Source organism: Homo sapiens, chromosome 4, assembly GCF_000001405.40.
Source record: "Homo sapiens chromosome 4, GRCh38.p14 Primary Assembly".
Classification (NCBI taxonomy): Eukaryota; Metazoa; Chordata; class Mammalia; order Primates; family Hominidae; genus Homo; species Homo sapiens.
The window spans coordinates 160546170-160557331 of NC_000004.12; the positions used below are offsets into that span (position 1 = coordinate 160546170).

At 37.5% G+C, this 11162-nt stretch overlaps 1 long non-coding RNA gene across 1 annotated transcript in view; it reads left to right on the plus strand.

The window, feature by feature from the left end:
- LINC02477 (long intergenic non-protein coding RNA 2477) overlaps window positions 1-7325 on the plus strand; it is a 34676-nt gene extending 27351 nt beyond the window's left edge. Inside the window, exon 7 of the long non-coding RNA XR_001741914.1 lies at window positions 7146-7325. This is a non-coding gene — a long non-coding RNA (long intergenic non-protein coding RNA 2477). The remainder of the gene's footprint in view (window positions 1-7145) is intronic.
- The last annotated feature ends 3837 nt before the right edge of the window (window positions 7326-11162 follow it).

The window sequence follows — 11162 nt, forward strand, 5'->3', positions numbered from 1 at the left end:
AATTTAAAAAGACAAATCAACATTCTCAAATTGTCCTTGGATATTGGGAAGCAGAGTATAACCTTGAAAAGGAAAATTACAAATAATGTCAGGACCCCCCCCCCCCACCCCACAACCCCACCTGCAAACTTCTTATGCGAAAGAGAAGGTCTTGCAACACTCTCTTCCAAATGAGTAGTTGTTACTAGATTATGCATCAGCCAGATCCTCCAGGAGAGGTAAAAGGCCTCAGGCATCAAGAAAAAGACAGGCTTCTGGGATCATTCATGAGTGAATTCTTTGCTGGCCTCTCATAAACAAGGACATGCCAATTATAACTGTATGTCTACAATCTAAGTCTAGCTCCTAATGGACACTGAAAATGTCCATTAGAGGCTTATCTTCTCAGAGGTAGAACAGTCAAGACTCCTTCCTTCACCTACCTAGAGACTTCTGCATAATTGACTCTTCTGTTACTCCATTTGTCTCTTCAGTAATTCACCTTATCATCTTAAGAGGTATTAACCTAAGAACCTACCTGCCCCCCATCTGCCTTCCTCCTCCTCTCATTTAAAGAAATGTATGAACACTAAGCCTTTTGAAAATCTCTTCAGAAAAACAGCCACAGATTTGTCTGTGGCTTGTGTTTTTCCTGGGATATGTCCAAAAGTGGCTTAATAAACCTCCATGATCAAGATTTATGCCTCAGTCACTGATTTCCATTGTCAATCTTACTCTAAAGAGAAATTTGAAAGGCCAGTTAAATAAGCGGTATACATGCTTTTTCTTTTTTGCTAGTTTTGTTAAATTTTTCTTTTCTTCCTTCCTGAGGCAAACTAACTTTGATACAAAGGATGTAAGTAACATTCTATAATAGCTACAGAACTAGTTGAGGGCAAATCAGCTTTAAAACCCTTTCCTAAATTCTCAGAAGAGAGATCTCTCAATAGTTCACATTTGGTGGAAGAAAATATCACCAGCAAGGAGTTCAACATCATTAGAGTAATGATAATTGGAAAACAATCATGCTGAGCCAGATAATCTTTACACACAGATGACAACAGATGATATTCAAATGTTCTGTTAGAAGACAGAAACAACCTTAGAGGGTCAAGTGAATGCATTCCACTCATTTGCAAGCAGTGGGGATCACTGAGATTAAAAAAAATGAAAACAAAACAGAGCATTAGGAGCACTGTCATTGGAAATAAGATGATTCCTTCTAAACATACACTTGCCTGAAATTTAGCCTAAACTTCACAGCTTCTAATAATGTCAGTCCTTGAAAATACAGTTTAGAAGAAGAATCCTGTCTTTCATGCCCACCTGACGGATAATTATGAATGACTTGAGAAAATATTAAATGATGAACATGATTAGGTGCTAAATAAACACTTCACCAATTGAATCGGAGGTTTACTAAAATCTCTAGTTGGACCCATTGCAAAAGATGCTGATACCTTATTGAAATGCTACCTTTACTGTAAGCACATATACCTATATGATGGCTGTTCTGGAATACGGAGATGCCAAAAAGCTAAGCTTAAAATAACACCATATACTGGAAAATGTATTTGGCAAATTATCAGGAAACTAAAAGTTTTGCTATTGATTAACTTGCTTCTTAACTTACTTCATTTTAATTTCCTTAACTGCAAAGTTATTTTTACTATGATCTCTCAGTGTTCTTCCAGCATTAAATTATGATTCCAGAGATGTTTCAATCACATCATAACAAATTTCACAAGTGTAGGAAGAGTTGATCTGAATAAACATAAGAATAGCATTAATTATTTGTGTTGATATCTAATAGTAATTATCAAAAAGATCCTTGGGGATTCGTTTGGTGGCTTTTCTTTAACCAAACAGTTCATAAAATCAAGTCAATGCAATGAGTATTGATGAAAGTCAAGATATTTTTAAGACATAGATAGGACCTATTTTGAACATTTACTGAGTGATTGAAAACTATACAACACATACATCAATTATAAAAGAAGTCACTTAAATAAGTATAATCATTTTACACCTTATATCTTACTGCATTCAGTTAATCCCTTCTGATAATTTCCTGAGAAATATAGACGCTAAAGAACTACAATAGAAACATATCTGGTATATAATTTTGAAAGAATTAGAACAATAAAATTTAGGAAAATATTTGGAGAAGGTAACCTACTCTATTAAGAGAGCAACAGACTTTTCCTCAACTCCTTCCTCTCTCCCTTAGGTACAGAAATATGTGTCTTGGGGATGAAGTATTGTCTTTAGGTAGAAAGTTCGTGGAAAAATACCAAGAATTTTCATGGGTTTCTGGACAAGAAAAAAATACTAGCAAGAGATAGGCTTTGGGTAATTTACAACTTTTACCTCTCTAGCTGGCATCAGAGACAGATTCACTCAACATACATTCCAATCCCCTTATAGCTGCTTCCTTTTACTATAAAGACCAGGACAATTATAGGCAGAATAATAGAAGTTCCTGGTTTTGCTTCCCTGAGGCAGTTGTTGAGTGGATAGTTTTATTATCTGGAAGTTGTTGCTGGTCCTTTGCAAGCTTGCTTTACAGATGGATACACTTCATGCTATAGGGATGTTATGGGTATTGATCCTGGTAGTTTCACACTCTAAGGTTTGGCACAGATTCATGATGTCTGAACCAATTGGTAACTGCAGCCTTTCAGTACATTCATTTACTGTAGTCTTATAGTAGGGCCAGCTTTCTTATTACTGCTCTGTTTCTTAGTGAATAGACATCATAAAGCAGAAAAGGAATGTATGTGTATGTGCATGTGTATGTGTGTGTGTGCGTGTGTGGATGTGTGGTCTGGGGCAAGGATGCAGAGTAAAGGAGTCCTACAAAGAAGACAGAGAAAAATAATACAGAAATAAACTAAGTGCATTTATATTAAAACTATTTAGCTAAAACAGTGTTGTCTAAGTATAATTGCTAAGATTGTGAAATAGGATTAAAGTAGAAGATTCGTGGAAGTGAAACATTATACCTGCCTAATTCGACCAATCAAAATGGTTTTGAATGTTTACAATTCTGATTTGTAATATTTAAGCCGTGATGAATTATTATTTGTCCCTAACTTTTCACCAATTTTTGTGGCACTTAAAAAAAATGGCCCTAGAAAAAGTCCATACTATTTGAACACTTTTCCTCAAAAACAAACAAATATGTGGGTTAATTTCTAGATATTTTATTATTTTTGCTTTGTTTTGCTGGTATTGTGTCCGGAATTGGTGGGTTCTTGGTCTCACCGACTTCAAGAATGAAGTTGCGGACCCTCGCAGTGAGTGTTACAGGTCTTAAGGTGGCGCGTCTGGAGTTTGTTCCTTCTGATGTGCGGATGTGTTCAGAGTTTCTTCCTTCTGGTGGGTTCGTGGTCTCGCTGGCTCAGGAGTGAAGCTGCAGACCTTGGCGGTGACTGTTACAGCTCATAAAAGCAGTGTGGACCCAAAGAGTGAGCAGTAGCAAGGTTTATTGCAAACAGCGAAAGAACAAAGCTTCCACAGTGTGGAAAGGGACCCGAGCGGGTTGCCACTGCTGGCTGGGGCAGCCTGCTTTTATTCTCTTATCTGGCCCCACCCACATCCTGCTGATTGGTAGAGCCCAGTGGTTTGTTTTGACAGGGCGCTGATTGGTGCGTTTACAATCCCTGAGCTAGACACAAAGGTTCTCCACGTCCCCACTAGATTAGCTAGATACAGAGTGTCCACACAAAGGTTCTCCAAAAGTCCCCACCAGAGTAGCTAGATACAGAGTGTCAATTGGTGCATTCACAAACCCTGAACTAGACACACGGTGCTGATTGGTGTATTTACAATCCCTGAGCTAGACATAAAGGTTCTCCACCTCCCCACCAGACTCAGGAGCCCACTTGGCTTCACCCAGTGGATCCTGCACCGGGGCTGCAGGTGAAGCTGCCTGCCAGTCCCGCGCCGTGCACCCATACTCCTCAGCCCTTGGGTGGTGATGGGACTAGGCGCTGTGGAGCAGGGGGCGGTGCTCATGGGGGAGGCTCAGGCGGCACAGGAGCCCACGGAGGGGGGTGGGAGGCTCAGGCATGGCGGGCTGCAGGTCCCAAGCCCTACCCCACGGGAAGGCAGCTAAGGCCCGGCGAGAAATCGAACGCAGCGCCAGTGGGCTGGCACTGCTGGGGGACCCAGTACACCCTCCGCAGCCGCTGGCCTGGGTGCTAAGCCCCTCATTACTGGGGGCCGGCGGGGCCGGCAGGGCCGGCCAGCTGCTCCGAGTGCGGGGCCTGCCAAGCCCACGCCCACCCGGAATTCCAGCTGGCCCGCAAGCGCAGCGCGCAGCTCGGGTTCCGCTCATGCCTCTCCCTCCACACCTCCCTGCAAGCTGAGGGAGCCGGCTCCCGCCTTGGCCGGCCCAGAAAGGGGCTCCCGCAGTGCAGCGGTGGGCTGAAGGGCTCCTCAAGTAAGTGCCGCCAATGTGGGAGTCCAGGCAGAGGAGGCACGGAGAGCGAGTGAGGGCTGTGAGGATTGCCAGCATGCTGTCACCTCTCAGTATGATTTCTTATAAAATATCAAGGCAATGTACAAAATGTGAGGGTGTAAGATTTTAAGCCTGGCTATAGAGAAATGTATGGATTAATGTGAGGGGCATGCAAAAAGAATATAAAAAAGTGAAGAAAACTTTGGCAGATGGAACTGTAATGAGTTAGAAACCATGAAAATGTAGCAGAAGCTATTGGTACAGTTCCGTTAATTTCTTCAGAAGCCCTTACCAGTTCAAAAGTTAAAGGAGAAAGCAGATGGTGAAGTTTTGCTTGGTTCAGAAAAAACGGCAGGAAAGATAACAACAAAAAGGAATAAAAACGATGGATACTGTTATCCCTACAAAGCTGAAACCAAGATTTTCTCTAACTACGCTCCTTCTGAGAAGCATTTACTACATAAAACTGCCTCTGCCTTGATATCTGAAAAAAAAGTGTATATGATACCAATTTGGGTGAAAAAAATTTGGCCTGAGATGACATCTGTAAAAGCTGAGGATTTGCTTTTGTTTTTAAATATTGTAGGCGTGGGGCCAGTTTTGTGACACTCTTTCGGTTTTTGTTAAATTTTTGAATTTAAACAAAACAAAGAAGACTTACTGTTGAACTAATTAAACTTTTTCTTAAAGAATCCATTTCCATTTCAGAAGACAGCCCAGACTGTAGGTGTTGAAACAACTTTATTTCTCTGGGGGAATCTATGTGAAAAGCCTGGGGCTGACAGCAAGCCGAATTAGAACTGCAGAGAACGAGAATTGATGTTAGGCTTCAATTTTCTTTTGGGCTTTAGTTCAGAAAGGACATATTTTGATTTTGGTTTTAATTCCTTTGGGTTCCAAATGAACATTAAAAATTCCTTCAAGTTAAAACAAAAAGAAATTTTATTGTATTGAATTCTAAGTTATAAAATTTTGTCTCCGGGAAATTCAGAAAGTTAAAGCCATGTTCAGATCATTCAATCCTATGTGTGTAGGGGAGTGTGTTTGAAACACATATGAATTTAAATTTATTCTGTTGGGAATGCTGATTTTTGCTTAGTTGCGTTTCAGCTTTACAACATGTGTAATTTTAACCGAGGAGTTAGTTAGCATATGGATCCTGTGTAGCCCTGGTAGAGGATTTGTTTCTGATGAGTGGTTTTACATTTGTTTTGCTGGGAGCTTATAAAATGTCAATATTCAGGACCTGGTATTTAAGATAATTTTTCAAGTTAGGCATTCTGAGTTAGCAATAAGTAGGGCATACATTTCAACTTCAAAGCCATGAATAGTTACATGGTTACAAATTATCTAGACAGATATTTTTAACCTAAAAACCAGGTAGTAATAGAAAGGCTTCTTTGCCTTCTTCTTCTGCTTGTTAGTGGGTTATTATTTTTTTGATAGTTCACTTTTTTAATAATTCGTAAGCCCTTTGAGGATTCCTTCATCACATGAGGCTCTAAGATCAACCTTCAGCTCCCATGGGCTCAAATCTCATATCCTTCCTCCAACACGTGTTAAAACTCAGGCCCTTTGGTGACTAGAATGGTATTCTTTATATCATTCTAGATTAGCCAGTGCATCCTCCTATCTGCTAACTGAACTGGTTTATGTTTTTCTATACTCCTGACACCAAAGGTTTTAATCTACTCTAACTTGATTTGAAGCTATGCATTTAAAAAATATTAAAATTGTATGTAATATTTCTACGTATTTGCCATGGGAAGTGTTTCTGGCTGTCAAGTTAACAGGCTGCTGGAATTAGAAGTTTTTATTTGAGTATTAGTAAATATTTAAACTCTTAAAATAGTTTCTTCTATACTAATTCATCTATTTAAGTTCATACTTCCTGGGAAAATGTTGATAATTGATGCTTTACAAGAAATATTCTAATTATTTTATATTTTCAAATTTCTTATTATAGAGTTACAATATATTGTTAAGTAATGAACAATATTAAGGTTTATTGAGTGCCTCACACATTCTAGGCACTGTTGTATGCACCAGGGATGTAACGATAAACCAAATAGTGCTTTTCTCTGCCCTTCTTCAGTCTCCATTCTAGTGGGGAATTTATAATGCAAACAAATAAAAAATAAAAATGTAAAGGACTTACTTAAAAAATCCTTAGGCTACATTTTGTATTTTTGCACATATCAAAATAATAGTGGTTTAGTAGACAGAAAATTATCTCACAAAAAATATACAGAAGTAGGCAGGCAAATGTGAGGGCAGGAGTTCAACTATAAATCAAGGACCAGACACTTTCATCATCTGCCATCTTCAATATGCTGGTGGTGGTGTTTATAATAATGTTAATGTTGATGATATTGTTTAGCATGCTTATTGCTTTATGCTGTCACAGTTTGAAGAAATTAAAGCTAGTGAAGTATTTTAGCTCATAATCAGTGTTTAGAGCGTGTATTATGTATTCCTGGAGAGTCTATCACCAATCATTTAGAAAAAATAATAAACATATTTGACTTTAAAAATCCTATTTGACATTTATGTAGCCTATTCTTAGGGAGTATACTGTTGTCCATTTGGATTTCATAATAGTTGTTGGGTAGATTGGTAGCAGGATTCATTCTCATCGCTGTTTCCTCTCCTCTATATTTAATTTTAAGACAAATTATTAAAATACCTGACTTTCATTCAGTACAGATGCAAGTGAGATGAGATAGTTCCCTTGACCCCTTCACAGAACTTGTAAATGGGTAGCTTGCTTACTCAGTCCACAGTGCTCAAACCCCTTGAGAGTGGGGGGATCACACAGGTGAGTGAGTGGGTGCAGGAGCCAGGGCAAGGGCCTTTGGGCGCCGGCAGAAACAAACCCCATACTTTCCCACGACAGCGTCTAGGGGTTGCCTGTGACCTCTGGAGCCCCAGAGGGCATGTGTTACAGTGTGCTCCTTTAGCTTTGTCATCTGTGGATGGCTTAAGTGTTAAACAGCTCAGTGCAGAGTCAGTGTGACAGCCTCTTGCGCCCACACCCGGCTCTTTGTCCGGTGTCCAGGAGTAATGATGTCTGCAAATCAATTGGAGGGTGGTAAATGCGGAGGATTTTACTAAGCAGTGGAAGTGGCTCTCAGTGGGAAGGGGAGCTAGAAGGCAGATGGAGTGGGAAGATAATCTTCCCCTGGAGTTCATCTGCCCCTGGCCGAACTCTTCTCAGAAGTCCCGCGGTCAAGCCATCCCTCTGAAGTCAAGCTGCTTTTCTCTAACATCGAGCTGCTTCTCTTCTCTCCTTCTCTGCCTCTCGCTCTGCACTTCTGCCAGTGGAGCTTGGGGTTTTTATGGGTACAGAGTAGGGGGCAGGGCAGGCCAGGGTGGCTTTGGAAAAGGTAACATTCAGGTGGGAAAACAGAAATGCATGTTCTTATTTACAGCCATGGTCCAGGCTTGAGGGTGGAGCCCTCACGAGAGACCTCACCATTTTCTACCTAGTATTTCCCTGTCTCCTGTCTATATCGCAGGTAAGCGAAGTGTTGTTTATATCTTGACTCTAGAAACATATGTAGAACAAGAAATAAGAACATTTTAAATAAACATGCATTGGGAATAAAACAATGAGAGGGTTTGAAGAAAAATAATTGTCAATCTGACAGGAGAAATTCAGGTCTTGAGGTCTTTTAATACATGTATTTCCAGTGATATGGAGGTTTAATACATGACCCTGCCAGAAGGTTGCTGATGTGTATTGGATATTGAATAATTTGGTTTTAAGGGTATTATCAATAAAATTATTTTTAAAAGTGTTTTTTACATTTTAAAATAATATAAAAATATAGAATACTATATAAATCCATTTCTTTCCCTTTCTTGTTTTTTTAATCTTTTCTCTTTTCCAATTCAGTAATCATTATATTACTTAACTATTACATTGTCAGAGCAAAGTAGCAATATCAATATTTAATTACAAGTATTAATCACCATGTGTAATTTGAAAGTTTGACATTTACTAAATATTAAGTGTGTTTTGAAAATAACTTCTAAATAACTTCTTATAGAAAGTTAAATAGAAGTGTAACTATAAAATATAAACGTCAACATGATTATCATTGTCATATAAATTATTATCAGCAAAGTAGACGAAACATAAATTTCATGTAAGTGAAAAATATTTATTCAGCCATACTATTTAAAGTAAAATGGTATGTAATTTTATTGTTATTCTTAGATGTAAATTTGTCATTTGTGTCACAATCCAATCTGGATAATATTTTTTACTACTCTTCCAGTTGCTAAAAGTGTTCTTTTAACTCTACTCCATGAGTAATAATGATGAATTACTTATAATCTAATTCCAAATATTATTTTTTTGATTCCTTCATCTTCAAACAATACTATCTTTGCTTGATACTTCTGAGATCTCCAGAGTCATTATACAGAGATAAATATTCCAAAATAGAATTCATTATGTTACTTTTGATACCATCATGTTAATTTTTCACATAAGGAAGTCTTTATGCTAGAAAAAAAGATATCCTTGTAATACACAATTTATTATCTTTTTCCCTTTGAAAATTCTGAAATTATAAGATAATGCACACTTTCTTGATACACAATTTTAATGTGTACTTCTGAAATGATACATTTTTAGATTTTATATATTTGTTAATATATAGAAATAATGGAATCTTACACTGAAAACTATGGATGCTGTATAACCTGCAATGTATACTGGAACATAGGAATTTAACAACTCTGATACTATAGTCATTATAATCAGTATTCTAATCATCATTATTATTTTTATATTTTGAAAAATGTTACCAAAGAGCAGGGTGTAGTAGATCATGTGTAAGCTCTGGAGCCTTTATGAAAGAGGAGAACATAGTCCAAAAATCAATTAGAAAGAGGATGGTAAAAGTAGACAGAAGTAGTCCTTACAAACAGACATGGACAGTCTGTCTCTATCCATATATCTAACTACCTATCTACTTATCTATTTATCTATCATTTTGGCACCAGATTTTTTTCAGTCTTTGAGGATGAAACATAGACTAGATTTTTTAATGTCTATAAGTTGGTATTGTAATTAGAGATATAAAAGATATAACAGTAAGATTACCATTTAATTGTGTGAGGTAGACCTCCAGACCTCTGCTCATTTATTCCTCATGTCTTGATGCTGCCCCTACTCTTTTACATACAACTATACACAATCACAAACACACAGCCACACACACACAAACTGTTGGAGACACTTTTTATGGGATGATTTACCCATTTTTACTGCCTCCTTGTCCTCAGTCACCTTCTAGCTAAGAATAACCATGTAACACATTTCCGGAAAGTTTCCGTTTCCCAGGTGGAAATTACATTGTCATCTCTCTCTTGGATTGTTCAATAGAAACTGAACTTACCTATAATGCTGGGTGCCTCCAGTGCATATTCCACATTACAGCTATTTTTAAGTTCCTAGTCTGATTCTCTCGGCCTAAATCAGAAAAGTGGCATTGTAAATAAATGAGCTGAATAACAATGGTAGATATATCAGAGGCAGAAAGAAAAGCATGCAGTTAATAATGAGAAATGAAGGGTAATGAATGTCGATCAAAAAGGACAGCAAAAAGTCAAGGGTACAAAAGGTTTTCTGATTTCAAACAACTGGCTAAATTGTGATTCTATCAAGTAAATTTGAGAATATAGGAGAATGAGCAATTTGGGGAAAAGATAACAAGTTACATATGGCTTCCAGAAATAAGGATGATGAAGATAGATAGTGAATGGTCTCCATGAGTATAGAAAAACAGAAGTAATTTGTGACATTAGCAAGAACATCATATAACGAGTAACAAGGCAGAAGAGACTATGGCGAACATTGTAGTGTAACAGGAGAGTGAAAATTGAAAATTATGAAGATTAAAATAGTTTTAAAATTATTAGTTGTTAAAAATGTTGGATGCAGAAAAAGAGTGTGGAACCAAGGCAATTTTTTTATTGTTTGTGTTTATTCATTTGTTTTTAAGAGGTGACAAATATGAATATTTTTAAATGTAGATGAGGACAAGATAGAAAAGGGGAGAAGACATTGACAGAACAGAGACTGAGTAAAAAATGTACAATTGTTAGAACATGATCCTAGAATAGGTGAGTAGCTAAAATTTCCAGAACAGCAAAATTGGGGAACTGAGATTTGAACAGGAAAAGGCACATATTTTCAACAGTAAAAGGGGAAAAAATAAAATAGATGAGTTTATGTTACAAAAATACTGTAGATTTGTGTGAAGTAGCTCCTGGCCATAGCTCTATTTTCTCACTAAAGAAGAAAGAAAGAACTGTTGTTCTTAGTGAAAAATGAATAGATCAACTGGATGTTCAGGAACTTGAAGGTTTGAAAGATTGTGTGGACAATAGGGTACCGGTTGCAGAAACATGAATGGATTTGCTGTATCATTGAGCATCTTTTTGAGATTGCAAACTGCATTTTAAATAAATTGGTACCATATTTAATGGCATGTTACTTTTTCTATGTATGCTTAGTAGCCCAAGATTGGATGAAAATGACTTAGATCAGGGCTACTAAAATATTTAACTTTGGAGAACCATTTCAAATATGGGGTTCTTTATAAGGAATTATCTGATCCAAGTCTTCATTCTTTTTTTGTGTTTACTTCATATTCTATATTTAACACTGCAGCATTTTTCAGTGTATTAGACATATTTATTT